General features: G+C 38.7%; 1 protein-coding gene across 4 annotated transcripts in view, besides 1 other annotated feature; it reads right to left on the bottom strand.

The window, feature by feature from the left end:
* Nucleotides 1-21,347, bottom strand: part of HMCN1 (hemicentin 1) — a 456,559-nt gene that overhangs the window by 24,498 nt on the left and 410,714 nt on the right. For all 4 annotated transcript variants that reach the window (NM_031935.3, XM_011510038.4, XM_017002437.2 and 1 more), the window contains 8 exons: nucleotides 20,879-21,049; nucleotides 20,529-20,699; nucleotides 15,103-15,252; nucleotides 14,709-14,846; nucleotides 13,581-13,702; nucleotides 12,465-12,702; nucleotides 1,279-1,341; nucleotides 149-268 (listed from right to left, as the gene is read on the bottom strand). In NM_031935.3, the coding sequence (NP_114141.2) occupies nucleotides 149-268; nucleotides 1,279-1,341; nucleotides 12,465-12,702; nucleotides 13,581-13,702; nucleotides 14,709-14,846; nucleotides 15,103-15,252; nucleotides 20,529-20,699; nucleotides 20,879-21,049 (1,173 nt within the window). The remainder of the gene's footprint in view (nucleotides 1-148; nucleotides 269-1,278; nucleotides 1,342-12,464; nucleotides 12,703-13,580; nucleotides 13,703-14,708; nucleotides 14,847-15,102; nucleotides 15,253-20,528; nucleotides 20,700-20,878; nucleotides 21,050-21,347) is intronic.
* Nucleotides 13,408-13,608: a silencer, noted in NCBI's record as "peak513 fragment used in MPRA reporter construct". NCBI's record gives its function as "represses an SCP1 promoter by STARR-seq MPRAs in K562 erythroleukemia cells {active_cell/tissue: K562}" and the evidence as "EXISTENCE:reporter gene assay evidence [ECO:0000049][PMID:32103011]".

Below are 21,347 nucleotides of genomic sequence, written 5' to 3'. Positions count from 1 at the left end.
TTTCTCAGCCCAATGGAGACCTTCTTTGTTTGTTGCCAAGGTGTGGGCAGAAGTAGTAGGAAAGAAGATAATGGGTCTATCATACTTTTTCTAGGTCAAAGAAATCCTTGACCCATTGCTTAAATGTGTGTATTAGATTTGTGAATACCTTGACAAGTTCTTCCATCTGCAGCTATGGTGAGGCCTTTAGGGCAGGAGCAGTAGTAAGTCCCCATGGCATTGTGGCAGCTATGGGAGCAGGGATTCCCTGCTGCACATTCATCCTCATCTTAAAGAAGAAACAAAAAGGCCCAAATCAGTATGTAAAATCCTTACTTTCTGGGAGTTATTAAAGCCAGTAAAAATAACTGCTTATAGAGGCCAAGAAGTTGAATCAAATATAATAGAAAATGCTTTAAGTGCCACAAAATGAATTCACTGAATAAAAATAATTTGAGGCATCTGAGTTATCCTTGATAGTGAATAGATGGTTAGATTATATCCTAAAACAACAATGATAATAGCTAAAATATATTTATCATCTACTGTGCTCTAAATGCCTTTTACCTGCTTTAACTCTTTCATCACAGAATTCCTAGGAGATAAGTATTTTTATTACTATCCTTATTTTGCAGGACAAAACTGAGGAAAAAAGAAGTTACATAAATTGCTTAAGGTCATACAAGTCATTACTGGCAGGGCTGTGATTTGTGCCTGGGCAGTGGAAAGACCACCTCTTTATCACAAGACTATATTACATTGCCTACCAATGAAAGAAAAGCACTGTGTATGTAAATGTAAGCTCCTCAAGCCATTTACTTAGCAGTTATCTGTACCTCTCTTGTGCTGGTACTTTGGTGGGATAAAATTGGTTTAATCATTAGTCATAAGTCCACAATCCTGCCTGTCCTCTGATTAATTCTAGGGTTAGGTGACTTAATGTTGTGGCTCTCTCACAGCCACGGCAATCAAGCCACCAGATAAAGTATAGCATTGTCTGTCTGCTCACTCCACATCTATACTTAGTCACTATCTCTGACACAGTTGGCTGTGGCCAAATTCAGAGAACATGGGCTTTGGAATTAACTTAAATTCAAATGCAGCTCTGCCACTTGATGCTGAGTGGTTTTCCATAGTTTGACTTTTCTACATCTCAATTTCCTTAGCTGTCAAATGGGATGTTTACAGAACTGTTGTGAAGATTAAATACCTAGTGAAAGGGCAATAGATACCCATTAAATGCTATCCAATATTGACATTTTCATTAAAAGAAAACCCTTTATTTATCTCTGTACTTACCAGCACAAAAAGGTCCAACTGAGTCTAAGGTAAACCCGGAGGGGCACTGATTACTGCGATCTCCTACCACAGAGAGGAAAGCAAAGTTAACTGGCTTATTGGAATAGTTGCCCCTGGCTTCTTTCCAGTACCATCTTCCCTGGGAAGATATGCCAAAGATGAAACACATGATGCAAAAATGCAATAGGTGAAAATAAGCAGGCATGGAAAACTTTTCCTGTTTCTAAACCAAGAAGTACATGAATCACAGTCCAGAGATTGTTGACAAGCTGCCACTGGAAACAGGTTTCGTGTGTAAGTTATTTACATCAATAAAAAAATTATGTGATAACTAAAAAGGGTCCAAGATAAATGTATATGCCAGGCATAACCATGGGCAAAGTCCTGTTCTTCCAGCCATTGCTATCCGGTTTTACTCTAAAATGAGAAATGCTGTTTTCAAGCAACTTAAAATAATTTGTGCCCGTGAAAAATAGAAACTCTGTGAAGAAGCTCCCTCCTTTTGTGGATCTCCCGCATTAGCACTATTGAGCATTTGGGTCAAAATCCCCCACGTGTGACCAAGTGTTTTCCTTTTCATCTAGTCAAAATAAGGGGAAACAGGCATATTGTGATAGAAAAGATTTAAGTTAGCCGGGCATGGTGGCTCATGCCTGTAATCCCAGCACTTTGGGAGGCCGAGGCGGGCGGATCACAAGGTCAGGAGATCGAGACCATCCTGCCTAACATGGTGAAACCCCGTCTGTCTCTACTAAAAATACAAAAAATTAGCCAGGTGTGGTGGCAGGTGCCTGTAGTCCCAGCTACTCAGGAGACTGAGGCAGCAGAATGGCGTGAACCCAGGAGGCGGAGCTTGTAGTGAGCCGAGATTGCGTCACTGCACTCCAGCCTGGGGGACAGAGCGAGACTCTGTCTCAAAAAAAAAAAAAAAAAGATTTAAGTTAGATGTCAGAAACAAAAAAGCTAACAAGAACAGGTTAGTCAAGAAACCTCTTTCCTGAAAGCATCCAAGTCTGCCTGCTCATGCAGGGGGGTGGTACTAGGATAGATGGGACAGAAACATCTAGGGCATATTGCTAAGTGATCATTGCACGGTTGCTGTGTGTGTGTGTCACTATTTAGTTTCCACTTAGTTATTTGTTGATACATTCTTTAATCCAACCAGTTATGTTGTGTGGGACACTGCTGGGGACATAATTGTGGAAAAAATATGTCATGTAAACATAGTTATTATCTGATAGTAGTGTTAGGTTTTTGGTTATAAATAGGGGGGCTATCATCTAATAGGTGGAATTTGGGAAGTTTTTTGGGAGATACTTTGGTTGTCATAATAAGACTATTAAAATTCAGTGAGTGGGACAGGACTCATGGCAGGTTTTACAATATTGCCATGTATGAGACAGTCTTGCAAGATGATGATTTGTCCCTTGCCTTGCAAGACTTTCATGAAAGTAAGAAATCTATAATTATCTAAGCTTTGAATGTGTCTGCCGTATATTAAGCATTTTTCATGATTTAAATATATAGTGAATTTTCTAGGAATGCAATTTTCATATAAATTGGTGGCTGATTGGACTGTTTCATTCAGAACATTACTAAGAGTTGCTTAATTGGGGGGAGGAGCCAAGATGGCCGAATAGGAACAGCTCCAGTCTACAGCTCCCAGAATGAGCAAGGCAGAAGACGGGTGATTTCCTCATTTCCATCTGAGGTACTGGGTTCATCTCACTAGGGAGTGCCAGACAGTGGGTGCAGGTCAGTGGGTGCAGCGCACCGTGCGTGAGCCGAAGCAGGGTGAGGCATTGCCTCACTCGGGAAGTGCAAGAGGTCAGGGAGTTCCCGTTCCTAGTCAAACAAAGGGGTAACTGATGGCACCTGGAAAATCGGGTCACTCCCACCCGAATACTGTGCTTTTCTGACAGGCTTAAAAAATGGCGCACCAGGAGATTATATCCTGCACCTGGCTCAGAGGGTCCTATGCCCATGGAGTCTGGCTGATTGCTAGCACAGCAGTCTGAGATCAAACTGCAAGGCAGCAGTGAGGCTGGGGGAGGGGCGCCCGCCATTTCCCAGGCTTGCTTAGGTAAACAAAGCAGCCTGGAAGCTGGAACTGGGTGGAGCCCACCACAGCTCAAGGACGCCTGCCTGCCTCTGTAGGCTCCACCTCTGGGGGCAGGGCACAGACAAACAAAAAGAGCAATAACCTCTGCAGACTTAAATGTCCCTGTCTGACAGCTTTGAAGAGAGCAGTGGTTCTCCCAGCACGCAGCTGGAGATCTGAGAATGGGCAGACTGCCTCCTCAAGTGGGTCCCTGACCCCTGAGCAGCCTAACTGGGAGGCACCCCCCAGTAGGGGCAGACTGACACCTCACAGGGCCGGGTACTCCTCTGAGACAAAACTTCCAGAGGAACGATCAGACAGCAGCATTCGTGGTTCACGAAAAACCCCTGTTCTGCAGACACCTCTGCTGATACCCAGGCAAACAGGGTCTGGAGTGGACCTCTAGCAAACTCCAACAGACTTGCAGCTGAGGGTCCTGTCTGTTAGAAGGAAAACTAACAAACAGAAAGGACACCCACACCAAAAACCCATCTGTACATCACCATCATCAAAGACCAAAAGTAGAAAAAACCACAAAGATGGGGAAAAAACAGAGCAGAAAAACTGGAAACTCTAAAAAGCAGAGCACCTCTCCTCCAAAGGATCACAGTTCCTCACCAGCAATGGAATAAAGCTGGACAGAGAATGACTTTGACGAGTTGAGAGAAGAAGGCTTCAGATGATCAAACTATGAGCTACAGGAGGAAATTCAAACCAAAGGCAAAGAAGTTAAAAACTTTGAAAAAAAATGTAGATGAATGTATAACTAGAATAACCAATACAGAGAAATGCTTAAAGGAGCTGATGGAGCTGAAAGCCAAGGCTCGAGAACTACGTGAAGAATGCAGAAGCCTCAGGAGCCGATGCAATCAACTGGAAGAAAGGACATCAGCAATAGAAGATGAAATGAATGAAATGAAGTGAGAAGGGAAGTTTAGAGAAAAAAGAATAAAAAGAAACGAACAAAGCCTCAAGAAATATGGGACTACGTGTAAAGACCAAATCTACGTCTGATTGGTGTACCTGAAAGTGATGGGGAGAAGGGAACCAAGTTGGAAAACACTCTGCAGGATATTATCCAGGAGAACTTCCCCAATCTAGCAAGGCAGGCCAACGTTCAGATTCAGGAAATACAGAGAACACCACAAAGATACTCCTTGAGAAGAGCAACTCCAAGAAACATAATTGTCAGATTCACCAGTTGAAATGAAGGAAAAAATGTTAAGGGCAGCCAGAGAGAAAGGTTGGGTTACCCACAAAGGGAAGCCCATCAGACTAACAGCGGATCTCTCAGCAGAAACTCTACAAGCCAGAAGAGAGTGGGGGCCAATATTCAACATTCTTAAAGAAAAGAATTTTCAACCCAGAATTTCATATCCAGCCAAACTAAGCTTCATAAGTGAAGGAGAAATAAAACACTTTACAGACAAGCAAATGCTGAGAGATTTTGTCACCACCAGGCCTGCCCTAAAAGAGCTCCTGAAGGAAGCACTAAACATGGAAAGGAACAACTGGTACCAGCTGCTGCAAAATCATGCCAAAATGTAAAGACCATCAAGACTAGGAAGAAACTGCATCAACTAACGAGCAAAATAACCAGCTAACATCATAATGACAGGTTCAAATTCACACATAACAATATTAACTTTAAATGTAAATGGACTAAATGCTCCAATTAAAAGACACAGACTGGCAAATTGGATAAAGAGACAAGACCCATCAGCGTGTTGTATTCAGGAAACCCATCTCACATGCAGAGACACACATAGGCTCAAAATAAAGGGATGGAGGAAGATCTACCAAGCAAATGGAAAACAAAAAAAGGCAGGGGTTGCAATCCTAGTCTCTGATAAAACAGACTTTAAACCAACAAAGATCAAAAGAGACAAAGAAGGCCATTACATAATGGTAAAGGGATCAATTCAACAAGAAGAGCTAACTATCCTAAATATATATGCACCCAATACAGGAGCACCCAGATTCATAAAGCAAGTCCTTAGAGACCTAGAAAGAGACTTAGACTCCCACACATTAATAATGGGAGACTTTAACACCCCCTGTAAACATTAGACAGATCAACGAGACAGAAAGTCAACAAGGATACCCAGGAATTGAACTCAGCTCTGCACCAAGTGGACCTAATAGACATCTACAGAACTCTCCACCCCAAATCAACAGAATATACATTTTTTTCAGCACCACACCACACCTATTCCAAAATTGACCACATACTTGGAAGTAAAGCTCTCCTCAACAAATGTAAAAGAACAGAGATTATAACAAACTATCTCTCAGACCACAGTGCAATCAAACTAGAACTCAGGATTAAGAAACTCACTCAAAACTGCTTAACTACATGGAAACTGAACAACCTGCTCCTGAATGACTACTGGGTACATAACGAAATCAAGGCAGAAATAAAGATGTTCTTTGAAACCAACGAAAACAAAGACACAACATAACAGAATCTCTGGGACACATACAAAGCAGTGTGTAGAGGGAAATTTATAGCACTAAATGCCCACAAGAGAAAGCAGGAAAGATCCAAAATTGACACCCTAACATCACAATTAAAAGAATTAGAAAAGCAAGAGCAAACACATTCAAAAGCTAGCAGAAGGCAAGAAATAACTAAAATCAGAGCAGAACTGAAGGAAATAGAGACACAAAAAACCCTTCAAAAAATTAATGAATCCAGGAGCTGGTTTTTTGAAAGGATCAACAAAATTGATAGACCACTAGCAAGACTAATAAAGAAAAAAAGAGAGAAGAATCAAATAGACGCAATAAAAAATGATAAAGGGGATATCACCACCGATCCCACAGAAATACAAACTACCATCAGAGAATACTACAAACACCTCTATGCAAATAAACTAGAAAATCTAGAAGAAATGGATAAATTCCTGGACACATACACTCTCCCAAGACTAAACCAGGAAGAAGTTGAACTCTGAATAGACCAATAACAGGATCTGAAATTGTGGCAATAATCAATAGCTTACCAACCAAAAAGAGTCCAGGACCAGATGGATTCACAGCCGAATTCTACCAGAGGTACAAGGAGGAACTGGTACCATTCCTTCTGAAACTATTCCAATCAATAGAAAAAGAGGGAATCCTCCCTAACTCATTTTATGAGGCCAGCATCACCCTGATACCAAAGCCAGGCAGAGACACAACCAAAAAAGAGCATTTTAGACCAATATCCTTGATGAACATTGATGCAAAAATCCTCAATAAAATACTGGCAAACCGAATCCAGCAAGCGCATCAAAAAGCTTATCCACCATGATCAAGTGGGCTTCATCCCTGGGATGCAAGGCTGGTTCAATATACGCAAATCAATAAATGTAATCTAGCATATAAACAGAACCAAAGACAAAAACCACATGATTATCTCAATAGATGCAGAAAAGGCCTTTGACAAAATTCAACAACACTTCATGCTAAAAACTCTCAATATGTTAGGTATTAATGGGACGTATCTCAAAATAATAAGAGCTATCTATGACAAACCCACAGCCAATACCATACTGAATGGACAAAAACTGGAAGCATTCCCTTTGAAAACTGGCACAAGACAGGGATGCCCTCTCTCACCACTCCTATTCAACATAGTGTTGGAAGTTCTGGCCAGGGCAATTAGGCAGGAGAAGGAAATAAAGGGCATTCAATTAGGAAAAGAGGAAGTCAAATTGTCCCTGTTTGCAGATGACATGATTGTACATCTAGAAAACCCCATTGTCTCAGCCCAAAATCTTCTTAAGCTGATAAGCAACTTCAGCAAAGTCTCAGGATACAAAATCAATGTACAAAAATCACAAGCACACCAATAACAGACAGAGAGCCAAATCATGAGTGAACTCCCATTCACAATTGCTTCAAAGAGAATAAAATACCTAGGAATCCAACTTACAAGGGATGTGAAGGACCTCTTCAAGGAGAACTACAAACCACTGCTCAATGAAATAAAAGAGGATACAAACAAATGGAAGAACATTCCATGCTCATGGGTAGGAAGAATCAATATTGTGAAAATGGCCATACTGCCCAAGGTAATTTATAGATTCGATGCCATCCCCATCAAGCTACCAATGACTTTCTTCACAGAATTGGAAAAAACTAAAGTTCATATGGAACCAAAAAAGAGCCTGCATTGCCAAGTCAATCCTAAGCCAAAAGAACAAAGCTGGAGGCATCACGCTACCTGACTTCAAACTATACTACAAGGCTACAGTAACCAAAACAGCATGGTACTGGTACCAAAACAGAGATATAGATCAATGGAACAGAACAGAGCCCTCTGAAATAATGCCACATATCTACAACTATCTGATCTTTGACAAACCTCCCAGAAACAAGCAATGGGGAAAGGACTCCCTATTTAATAAATGGTGCTGGAAAAACTGGCTAGCCATATGTAGAAAGCTGAAACTGGATCCCTTCCTTACACCTTATACAAAAATCAATTCAAGATGGATTAAAGACTTAAACGTTAGACCTAAAACCATAAAAACCCTAGAAGAAAACCTAGGCATTACCATTCAGGACATAAGCACAGGCAAGGACTTCATGTCTAAAACACCAAAAGCAATGGCAACAAAAGACAAAATTGACAAATGGGATCTAATTAAGCTAAAGAGCTTCTGCACAGCAAAAGAAACTACCATGAGTGAACAGGCAACCTACAGCATGGGAGAAAATTTTCGCAACCTACTTATCTGACAATGGGCTAATATCCAGAATCTACAATGAACTCAAACAAATTTACAAGAAAAAAACAACCCCATCAAAAAGTGGGCGAAGGACATGAACAGACACTTCTCAAAAGAAGACATTTATGCAGCCAAAAAACACATGAAAAAATGCTCATCATCACTGGCCATCAGAGAAATGCAAATCAAAACCACAATGAGATATCATCTCACACCAGTTAGAATGGCAATCATTAAAAAGTCAGGAAACAACAGGTGCTGGAGAGGATGTGGAGAAATAGGAACACTTTTACACTGTTGGTGGGACTGTAAACTAGTTCAACCATTGTGGAAGTCAGTGTGGCGATTCCTCAGGGATCTAGAACTAGAAATACCATTTGATCCAGCCATCCCATTACTGGGTATATACCCAAAGGACTATAAATGATGCTGCTATAAAGACACATGCACACGTATGTTTATTGCAGCACTATTCACAATAGCAAAGACTTGGAACCAACCCAAATGTCCAACAATGATAGACTGGATTAAGAAAATGTGGCACATATACACCATGGAATACTATGCAGCCATAAACAATGATGAGTTCATGTCCTTTGTAGGGACATGGTTGAAATTGGAAATCATCATTCTCAGTAAACTATCGCAAGAACAAAAAACCAAACACCGCATATTCTCACTCATAGGTGGGAACTGAACAATGAGAACACATGGACACAGGAAGGGGAACATCACACTCTGGGGACTGTTTTGGGGTGGGGGGAGTTAGTGGGTGCAGCGCACCAGCATGTCACATGTATACATATGTAACTAACCTGCACATTGTGCACATGTACCCTAAAATTTAAAGTATAATAAAAAAAAAGTTGCTTAATGTTCCCAAAATAATCATACTAGGATTCAGTATATGTTTGAGTATACAACTACTTCTTTCTGTCCAAAGATTTTCATATTAAAATGTGTAATGTTATTATGAGTTATTTTCCTTTTATTGATTTTCATATTATAAAGTGTGTTACTTTGAATTATGTTACAATTTTTATTTCAAGATAGTAAAAGGCAATAAAAAATATTTGCTTATAATGTATGATAGTAATAGAAACCTTGAAAAGCATAAAATTCTGGTAGTCTTGTCAAATGGAACAAACTACTGCTGAGATTTTGATGTTTTTCCTTCCAGTCAATTTTATGAATACATACTTAGAAATTAAATTTAGGATATACAGACTGATAATTGCCAAGCTTGACTAATTATAAAAATCATTTGAAAATCCTATTAAAAATATAGGTTCCCTTGGTCCCATTTCTACTAGAATTGCTAAGAAAGAGACCTGGGTATCTGTGTTTTTAATGGGTGTAAAGATTTTCTTATAATCACCCACGGGTGTGCAACCCAGGTTTGGCTCATACAGTACTTTTCAGTTATTATTGTCATGAACATTCCCCTTTGTTACTTGTTTACAGTGATGCTGTCAACACCTAGAACAATGTTTAGTACATAGTAGGCACTCAACAAATATTTGTTAAATGAATAAATGAGCTAAATATTTCCTATTTCAGTGATTAAGTTATTATTATATAGCTGTGCCATAACTTACATATTTGTTTCCTACTTTGAGGATATTTAATATTTTTCTATTATAAATAACAGTGGATAAAACTTCCTAAGCATTCATCTTTGGCTATTTCTGTGATTTTCATAGGACAGGCTCCCAAAATGAGATAACTGAAAAGATATGAACATTTGAAAGGCTATTGGAGACACAGTGCCTTCCAGAAATGTTGAACCAATTTATCCCCCTGCCAGCAGTGTGTAAGGGTGTTCACTTCCCCATACCTCTGTAATACTAGGCAGTCGTCACCCTTGTTATAGTCAGAAAATAACTCATTAATTTGCATTTCCTTGCTTACTAATGAGGGTAAACAGTTTCTTCACATTTGTCATTATTTACTCTTTTGTGAATTTCCCTTATGCATTTTTCTACTGAGGGTATTTGCCTCTTTCTGATTTTGAAGCGCCTTTGTATGTATTAAGATTAATCATGGTTGTCAATAACATGTGATGCAAATATTTTTTCTTGGTGCATATTTTACCTTCTCATTTCACTTTTTTTCCTTCCCATGAAGAAGTTGTAAAAAATGTATCTGTAGTTAGTTAAATTTATATATTCCTGCATAATTTCTGATACTCTGATTCATTTGTAAAATATATACTTTATAATTAATTTTAAAAATAAGTTAGATTTTAAAGATATAAAAATATTTTAATGACACTGACTTATGTTAGTGAGTTTTCTCGACCAGTACTTTCCAAAAGCAAGAGTGCAGACCAGATATATTAGAATCATTTAGGGTCTGTGTTAAAAATACAAACTCCCAGACCCTACTGTGGACTTGCTAAACCAAAAATCTTTGTGCCCAGAAATCTGAACTTTCATCAAGCTCTCCAGAAGATTCTAATTTCACTGCAACCATACTTAGCTCTAGTCTAGACAGAACATAATTTGCTAGTTAAGCTACCAGGAATGCAAGCTTGCCCCCTAATGGTTGCTCAAAAACAAATTGCAAGTACACAATTCTTAAAATTGACAAGAACCATGACACATACATCAGATGTGATTCATAGAATCACAGTGTCTAAGGATAGTAAGGGGCCTTAAAGGTCATACAGTGTGTTTCTTTATATTGTGGGACCCAGATCCCCCAACAAACACACTTAAAGACGGTACAAAGATCTTTAAGCAGTTTTAGGCTTGGAAAATGTACACGATTAGGTAGAAAGTGAACATGACTTTTCAGAAATCATTTTAATTCATCTAGTTCCAGATGGTAGAAATTCTCTTATTTGTGCCCAGTTATCTTTTTTTAAATTAGATGGAGTACTGAAAAAAGTAGAAACAGAAGTTAGATTTGAAAAGCAGGCATAATTAGGGAAAGAAAATGTAACTCCTCATTCTGGCAGCTCGTTTCTTTTGTTCAAGTGGCATGGCATGCATGGCAATAGTAAAAGGTAGTGGTGGCAATGGTGTGCGTGGAGGAGATGGGCTATGGGTGTCACTGGCTATGAGACTTCGTGAATCTGTGATTACCTCAAAAAATGTGTGCTTGTACTTCCAGATTACTATGATCTCAAATTTTATGAAGCAGTTCTGATACAAGTTGAAGGAAACAGTCATAAGCATGACTGATGGAAGCAAGAGTAAACACTGAAAATAAATTTTTAGCATATCTGCTAAACATGATAAAATGGTGAAGTTTAAAATTTACTTGGCTCTATTTTAGGAAAGCTGGCACACAGCAAAACACATTGACAAGGTCAATGTGAATCCTTTTAAGTGAACTCATGGGAGCCTAAAGTTCAAAGCTAAAGTCACATAAACATTTAATGTCTAACAGGACTACATGCAAGAATCATCCCAGCATTAAAACCCCACAGAATATGGAATGTTAATTGCCGTGGTGGCTCTTATGACTGAAAAGGGAATCTCAGGAGACAGACACATCAAAGAACCACATAGCATAGATGGACTACTTAGATCAAGGGTTGCAGAACCATGCTTGGAAAATGAAAAGCAGTTAAAAAATTATAACTTCCAGGAACAAGAAATGACAGTTGGAATCCTGATTATTGCTGCACAGTTTTAAAAAGCTGCTTTTAAAATATAGAAATTCTTTTTGACTAGTTTAGGTTAAGACACAGCTTTGTATTATGTTTCAGGAATTTAAAAAATTTCTTGACAAACAAAATTCAAAACAATAACAAATGGACTTTATTATTTGTATTATTTGAATAAAAAGCATTTGGACACATTGTATGTTTTTCTTTGCTTGGAGATGGAGTTTTGCTCTTTGTTGTACAGGCTGGAGTGCAGTGGCGTGATCTCGGCTCACTGCAACCTCTGCCTCCTGGGTTCAAGCAATTCTCCTGCCTCAGCCTCCACAGTAGCTGGGACTACAGGCACCCGCCCCCACGACCGGCTAATTTTTGTATTACCATGTTGGCCAGGCTGGTCTGGAACTCCTGACCTCAGGTGATTCACCTGCCTCGGCCTCCCAAAGTGCTGGGATTACAGGCATGAGCCACCACGCCCCGCCACATTATATGTTTTTAACCCTCTCTGCACATATGGAATAGAACAACAGCAACCCCACTGTGTAGTATGAAGAAGTATATTAGTAAAGTAAATGTACTAGAACTCCAATTGGGTTGGCTTTTCCATAGGGCTTTACTTAACAAAAAGGCATAGACAACACACATGAAAAACCTGATATCATGTTAGATGTAGGCCTCAATGTCCTTATTTTGAATTTTTTTAACCCTTTAGACTGGATGGCATAAAGATATGGATTTTCTTTTATCAAATTACCTTTGGATATTGAAGCATGAATTTTAAAACCCAGTGTCTCTTCTATCTGGTTATAGTCAGATTCCACAGAGGATGCATGAAGTGTTTCAACCAAGAAAGGCATTCTTCCCTGTGCCTGATCATAGAAAACGGTGTGGTTCCATGTGTATGGGATGCTGATGCCATCAATGGTGAACAGCCGGGTTGAGTAGGCGTACAGCTGCCCAGGACCTGTTTGAATGTAGTCCTCTGTGTAATCCTAAGGAGAACAATGTGGATTTGAAGATCAATATGGCTCATACTAATTTTTTTCCCTTAAGGGGACTATGAAATGCAGAATGAGCGGGGAAAAAGGATTAGGAGCTAAAAAACACACATCATGCATGATGGTAAACATTTAATATGTGTTAACTTTTAATCCTAATTTAATACCTATAGCTTTAATACCTTAAAGCTATAAGGTAGCTTTAAATTGCCATAGTTTGCAGACTAGAAAAATAAGTTTGTAGAAATTAAGCAACTTTCTCATCATTACATTGGTACAAAGTGGCGGAATGAGGATCTGAATGTGGATCTGCTTGGCATCAAACACTATGTTCTTTTATTTATTGCCTCCTTCATGAGAAAATGTATAGGGGCTAATAAAACTTGTATAATAATTGTACAGTAGTGTTCAGGAAATAACATAAAGTTTGAACCCTTTAATTATAACATAGTTGTTTCATAATTTTGCTGTCATAAATTTCAGTTTAATAAGAGACTCAAAGTTATAGGTCATGAATAAACAAAGATGTGAAAGGGCGATTGTTATCCTTTAATTTCTGAAATATTTTATGGATGATACACAAAAACGTTTATGCAAGAATTACTATCCTCTTTGTCTAAAGAAAATTAAACAAATGCCTTACATCAAGTATTTGATCTTGGTCCTGATAGGGAGGGTGGTAAAACCATTAAGAGAGTTTGTAAAAACTTGTCCCTGAAGATTTTTAAACAAAGATCAGATAGTTATTTATAGCCTTGGTAGTTTGGACATTTTCCCCCACAGAGTGAACAAGTTATCTGTGCTCATTCTATGGACCTTTCACTCATCATTACTCTAATAAGCAGCAAAGACAAGTTATCCTGGCATTTTACCTTTACAGTGACTTCAGCAGGTGACTGAAGCTGTAGGACATAGCCACTCACAACGATATCTAGCAGCAAAGAACCATCGGAATCCAAGCCCCGGGCAATATGACTCATCTGCAAGATTTCTCCTGGGAATTACAAGACATTCATTTTGACAGCAAAAAAATATGGTTTCTGTAAGCACAGAGCAGATTTACCTTACATACCAGTTCAGCTATGCTTTTTGAGTTCAAACTTGAATAAGTATAGATGATGAGAACTGAAATAGCACTTAACCTCCCAATTAAAGAGTTAGGTTTATTGAATTCAGTTTCTTTTAACATTTCTTTTTATGTAGCAAAAATGTGGCAAACGGTTACACGAATTTCATACTTTAAATTCACAGGCAATAACAAAGCACTCTTATAAAAATGAATTGTCTGTGACTGGCAAAAACCACTAGTCTGGCCACAGTGCTTTGTTCTTTCTGATGCTTCAAAAAGTAACAAAGGACATCTGAGTAAGTGGATGCCCATGAAAAGAACCAATTGTCTTCTCCACTGATTAAATGTTGATTAAAGATAAGCCGTCCTCAAGCCCCTCTTCCTTAAAGGTCACTGCTATTGAGGCTGACCAACTGTGAAGAGGCTTGAAATGGAGCTCTCTAAACATCTGTATGTACATGGAAAGGGTCATGAATAGCTAACCCATACTCCTTAAGACTAGGGATGAGTGAAAAGCCTTTAGGTTTGCTTTGTTTCTATCTTTTTCATAAAGAACTGCTATAAAGTATCCTAATTGGATCTTGGTTTAAAGACAAAGAAGGTCTTTAATTAATAACAGTAACTCATTTTCCTTCTTTGTTTGGTCTTTAATATCCTCTCTATGGATTTAAAGAGAAAATATTTTTAAAAAGAAGAAAAGAGGAGAGGAGAAAAACTTTTAGGGTATAAAATGACTGCTTGAGAACACATGACCTCTTATGATCTTATGTTAGTACAAGTTTACAGGAAAACATGAAATTGCTTTTATATCACTTATAAGATTGCGTAAAAAGTTTCAAATTATTCTATGTGGGAACACGTATTTTTCTTAATCACCTATCTTCATGGCACTTTTTATAGTAATAGAATATTAAATTCAGCTGACACTAACCAGTTGCAAATTCCACTTGAGTTTCTCTTTTGAAGACTGCATTGGTGAGGGTAAAGCCATTGACTGCTTCTCCTATTTCCTTTGCTGTTGTCCAATAAATGGGATTTAGAATAGAAACTATCTTTCTCATTGCTGAACCTAAAGAAAAAAAAGGATAAATAAGGTGATAGCAAAATTTTTAGTCTATTTTATTGTCTTCATAGCATATTATTCACAAGGATGAATTCTAAATAATGTTGAATACCAGAAACAAATACCAGTACCTCATGTATGTTTGTTTAAAAGCTTACCATACTTATGAGTTAGTAGTAGCATTCTCTAGAACTTTAATGGAAGTAATAAGATGAAGAATAATATATAAGTTTTTAAAAAGAGGCTTGAGGCAAAGACTTACCAAGACTACGAGGTACATTGGTAATTTTGGCACGTATTATTCTAGTATCAGAGTTAGGGCTATCAGTTATTGTGGCATTAAGGAAAGCAATTCCAAATTCAACATCATTAATATTTCCAATAACACTTCCTCTGGCTCGCTGGGGCCCACCTATTGGGGGAAAAAAAAACATTCCTGGATAAGGATGCAATTTCATCAACATTACATGGGAGAAAAGAGGGCCAGTATTCAGAGATGCTACAAATCTTTTCTCAAACATCAAAAAGGTCATATGACATCTGAATTTAATAGTGAAATAAATAAGCTTTTAAAACATTCTACTTTCACATAACAACCATCATCACCCATAAATCTAAGATCCTTCTAATCTGTGCACATCATAGTGTTATTAATATTTCATAAGCCAAAGAATACAATCAGTGTCCAGTCCCCAAACTAAAAATAAAGAATATGTTGGTGGTGGTGATGACAATGAGAGTTTATTGAGCATGTCATGCATGATGGTAAACATCTAGTATGTGTTAACCATTTTAATCCTATCAACAATTCTATAAGGTAGCTTTAAGTTTGTAGAAATTAAGCAACTTTCTCCTTATTACATTGCTAGACAGTGGCGGAATGAGGATCTGAATGTGGATCTGCTTGGCATCAAACCCTGTGTTCTTTTATTTGTTGCCTCCTTCATGAGAACATCCAGGAAAAGGAGAGACTTCATCAACAAAACAGCTTCTAGGCCACTGCCAATGTAAACGTGGATTATCTAAGGACGTTGTTCAGTCTTGGGTTTTAGAGTGAGGGTTTATCAAGTTCTTCATATTACAAATATACTGAAAGATGCTTAACTTGAGAGAGACTGTGCTTTTGCCAGTGCTATAAAATTCATACCAAGGTAATCTGGTTGCAAAACAATTATAAATTTTTAAAAAAGGGCCTCAACATTAATTTTATGCCTTCTTTCTATTGTTCAACAAAATTACTGGTGACTAGCACAGAATAGGTGGTTAATGAATGTTTTTCAAAATGAATTTCATGCTTTGACAAGAGAAGGCAACATACTGGGAAGTAGCTGATAGTCAAATCCATAAATATTCATTATCTGATGTATTTTAATACATTTTAAAGCAATCACTAGGAATTTCAGATACTGTTATGTACAAGCATATTTAGTTTTATCATACTTTGCTTTGTTGCTCTTTGCAGACACTGCGTTTTTTTTACAAATTGAAGGCTTGTGGCAACCGTGTGATGAGAAAGTCTACCGGTACCATTTTTGCAACAGCCTTTGCTCACTTTGTGTTCCTGTGTCACATTTTGGTAATTCTTGCAATATTTCAAACTTTTTCATTATTATTATCTCTCTTAGGGTGTTCTGTGATCAGTGATCTTGGATGTTACTATTGTAATTGTTTTGGGGTTTCATGAACCATGCCCATATGAGATGGTGAACTTAATCAATGTTTTGTGTGTTCTGACTGCTCCATCGACCACCAGTTATTCCCTTGACTCTCTTCCTCTCCTCGAGCCTCCCTATTAGCTGAGACACAATATTGAAACTAGGCCAATTATTCACCCTACAATGGTCTCTAAGTGTTCAAGTGAAAGAAAGAGTCTCATGTCTCTCACTTTAAATCAAAAGCTGGAAATGGTTAAGCTGAGAGAGGCAGGCATGTAGAAAATTGATGTAGGCCAAAAGCTAGGCCTCTTGCATCAAAGAGTTAGCCAAGTTGTGAATGCAAAGGGAGAAGTCTTGAAGAAAATTAAAAGTGAACACACAAATAAGAAAGTGAAACAACCTTATTTTTTATATGGAGAAAATCTGAGTGGTTTGAATAAAAGATCAAACCAGCCACAATGTTCCCTTAAGCCAAAGCCCAATCCAGACTAAGGCCCTAACTCTCTTTAGTTCCACAAAGCTTGAGGTAGATGAGGAAGCTGCAGAAGACAAGAGGCTCAAGGACAGAAGCCATTTAAGTAACATAAAAGTGCAAGGTAGAACAGCACATGCTGATGTAGAAACTGGAGCAAATTATCCAGAGGTAGCTAAGTCACTGATAAAGGTGGCTACACTAAACAACAGATTTTCAATGTAGACAAAACAGCCTTCTATTGGAAGAAGATGCTGGCTAGGAATTTCATAGCTAGAGAAGTAAAATCAATGCCTGGCTTCAAAGCTCCAAAGAACAAACTGACTGTCTTGTTAAGGACTTACGCAGTTGGTGACTTTAAGTTGAGGTCAATGCTCATTGTGAAAATCCTAGGGCCCATAAGAATTGTGCTAAATCTACTCTGCCTCTGTGCTATAAATGAAACAACAAAGCCTGGATGACAGCACATCTGTTTATAGCATGGTTTACTTAATGTTTTAAGCCTATTTTTGAGACCTAACGCTCAGGAAAATAAAAAAAAAAAAAAAAGATTCCTTTCAAAGTATTACTGCCCACTGACATGTGAATGTTCACTGCAGAGGTCTAATGGAGATGTACAAGGAGATAAATGTTGCTTTCATGCCTAATACAGCATCCATTCTGCAGCCATGGATCAAAGAGTAATTTTGACTTTCAGGACTTATTATTTAAGAAATACATTTTCTAGGTCAGGTGCCGGTAGCTCACTTGAGGAGTTCAAGACCAGCCTGGCCAACATGGTGAAACCCTGTCTCTACTAAAAAAAAATACAAAAAATTAGCTGGGCATGGTGGTGGGCACTTGTAATCACTTGGAGGCTGAGACAGGAGAATCGCTTGAACCCTGGAGCCAGAGGTTGCAGTGAGCTGAGATCACGCCACTGCATTCGAGCCTGGGTGACAGAATGAGACTCTGTCTCAAACAAAAAAAACAGAAAGAAATATTTTCTAAGGCTATAACTACCATAGTGATTCCTTTGATGGATCTGGGCAAAGTAAATTGAAAACCTTCTGGGAAGAATTCATCATTCTAGATGCCATTAAGAATGTCTGTGGAAGGAGGTCAAAATATCAATATTAACAGGATATTGGAAGTTGATTCCCCCCATCATAGATGACTTTGAAGTTTCAAGACTTCAGTGGAGGAAGTAACTACAGAAGTGGTTAAAAGAGCAAGAGAATTAGAAGTATATCCTAAAGATGGGACTGAATTGCTACAATCTTATGATAAAACTTGAATGAATGGGGAGTTGCTTCTTACAGATGAACAAAGAAAATGGTTGTTTGATATGGAATCTACTCCTGATGAAGATGCTGTGAACATTGTTAAAACGACAACAAAGGACTTAAAATATTACATAAACTTAGTTGATAAAGCAGTGGCAGGATTTGAGAGGATTGACCCAAACTTTGAAAGTTTTACTGTGGGTAAAGTGCTATTTAACAGCATTGTCCACTACAGAGAAATCATTCATGAAAGGAAGAATCAATTGATGTGGCAAATGTCATTCTTGTCTTATTTTAAGAAATTGCCACAGCCACCCTAACCTTCCGCATCCACCATCCTGATCAGTCAGCAGCCATCAACATCAAGGCAAGACCCTCTGCCAGCTAAAAGATTGACTTTCTGAAGGCTCAGATAATCATTAGCATTTTTTAGCAATAAAGTATTTTAAAATTAAAGTATGTGCATTGTTTTTTAGACATGATGCTGTTGGATACTTAATAGTACTACAGAATAGTGTAAACATAACTCCTATATGCACCAAAACATTCATGTGCCTTGCTCTGTTGCAATATTCACTTCCTTGTGGTGGTCTAGAACTGAATCTGCAATATCTCTGAGGTATGCTTATATTATATATTGGAGAGAAATACAATTGCATTCAGCCTCAGAAAAATCAGTAAGTACTTTACCATTTTAATTTACATTACTTTTATTATTAATACTGAGAGAAAACATTTTTTCATGATGATTCAGCCTTCATGGTCTGTACTACATTCATTTGTTTGCCACGAATTAAAGAAAAAAATGGTGAGAAAAAAAAAAAAAAAAGACATGAAGCCTGCCTTCATAGAGCTTATGTCTGAATTGGGGAGAAAAACAATCTAAATCCCACAAATAAATGTAAGGTTGGAATGCACTACTACCTACTATTTAGGGAAGTTTGAGAAGGAAGTAAAAATAAAGAAGAACCTTAAAGTTTAAGTCTTAACTAAGCCAGGGAGGGCAGAAGGGCTTTCTGGGTAGGGGACAGAGTATGTGTCACTCTTTTGTGGGTAGTGGCTTGCCACATCTGAGAGGGCAAAAGCAGTAGAAAGCGTAGAGAGTAATGGAAGCCATGCTGCAAGATGATGTAGGAAAGTAGAGAGCCAGTCAAGGCCCGGTAGGCCATTTTGGTTCTTATCCTTAGTCCTAAGCAGGGAGAAAGAGGAGTATTAGGACCACTAATTTACTTAGCTCTCTGGGTCATCACTGACATTTTGACCCTGGTTCTCTAGTCTCACAGAGGGACTTGAGTCCCAGTGCTCAAAAGACTCCTCATTCTGAATACCTGGCTGGGATCTCTGAAATCCTCTGCCAGATTCTGCAACCCAAACTGTCAACCTATTTGGACCTCCTGATGCCACTGGGGCCCTGCTACTACCAGAGGCTGAGCTACAAAGTGCATCAACTGAAGCTGACACCATGCCTCAGCTGGAGCCTCAAAGTCCTTGTTAATTAGTCGATAATGTTCAACAGTTGTTGATGGTAGTGGACTATCAACTTCCTTCAGCTTGTCTAGGTCCTATACATTTTTAAATGTAAATCTCTCTCACTCTGTCAAATGATCTTGATTTTTCAGGAACATTTTATTTCTAAGAAGACCTTAAAGCTTTGGAGATTCTAACTGATATCTTGACACTTCAACAATATAAAACCGTTATTGTTGGTCTTCTTACAACCTTTAGAAGCCTGCCTTCTGAGACAAGGTATTGAGTATTAGCTACCATTTCTTGGAATCCCAGCAAATTCTAAGGCCCATGAGTTATAGACTTCTGAATTTTTACATCACTTGCTAGATGCAATGCATGACTCAGGCTGAACTTGATAACTGAACTCCTCTTATTCTTTCTCCTCAGACTGAACTGATTCTTATTTTACTTCCCACGCTCATGTCATTCAAATTCCCATCCACAGATGAACAGCCTCCAATTGTAGCTTTCTTTAGATATTTAGCCACTGCCCCACCTTACCTTCAGTCTGGAGTCTCAGCCCATTTTTCCCCACTCTGCCTCACCCTTTTTCCTGTCAATGCCAGGACTATATCCTTTTACCAGGAAGCCTGGAAGGGAGAAAATAGAGGCTAGAACCCAGCCTTGGATTGATACAGAACTGTACCAATTAGGAGCAAGAAAGCACTTTTTTTTTTTTTTCTAATTCCACCTCTCAGGGTTGGCATTGTTTTGTAATTTGTGGCACCTTTCTCTAATTTGCACAAAGGCTCTAAATGTGCTACCAAAGTCCAATTTAGTTGCTTACCTGGACATGCTTGTACATTGCACCTGGTCACCTGAGTAGTGTCTCCGGGACAGGGACGGCCACCTTTAACTGGCACAGGATGGTCGCACAGCCGCTTCCGAGTCTTTTCACCTCCTCCACAGGAGGCAGAGCACTGGCTCCAACTATGCCAGCTTCCCCAACTTCCATCCACTGTGAACAAGAATGGAATGGTCACTGTTAAGAAATTGGCTTCAAAATCTTCATAATCTATACTTGGGGTGCCCCTGCCTATACAACTTTCATTTTAAGGTCTGAAGCAATAGGCCTGCTACAATGAGCACTAAATGAAATGCTTTACTTATTCAACTGCCAGAAATCAAGAGGCTCACCAGGACACATGTCAGTGTTGCACCTCTGGATCTGGGAGTCTGGTCCCCCACAAGCTCTTCCCCCATTGGAGGGAGGAGGGTTATCACATGTGCGGTACCGCCGCATCTGCCCTCCGTTACACGTCCGGCTGCATGTTCCCCAGCCACTCCAAGGACTCCAGTTACCATGGGCTACAAGACAGAATAATCTGAGATGAAAACAGAGCCCCTAAAATGAGAAGTGGTCAACAATGACATTCATCCAAAAAGTATTAAAAAAAAAGTCTCTTCTCAGCACCTAAAACAAAACATGCAAGTCTATAAATAGGCAACTTCCAAAGGAAGATAGTTTAGCTTCGGTTTTGACTAGAAACTGAGTATGCATTCCTGTATTTGTGTGATTCAATTTAACATACATTTATTGAGTCTTAAAATATTCCAGGAGCTGGAGGGTATAAATGAGACAGGACCTCTGCTTTTGATAAGCCAA

The sequence above is a fragment of the Homo sapiens genome, chromosome 1 (assembly GCF_000001405.40).
Source record: "Homo sapiens chromosome 1, GRCh38.p14 Primary Assembly".
NCBI lineage: Eukaryota > Metazoa > Chordata > Mammalia > Primates > Hominidae > Homo > Homo sapiens.
This window is presented reverse-complemented; position numbering and strand designations above follow the sequence as displayed.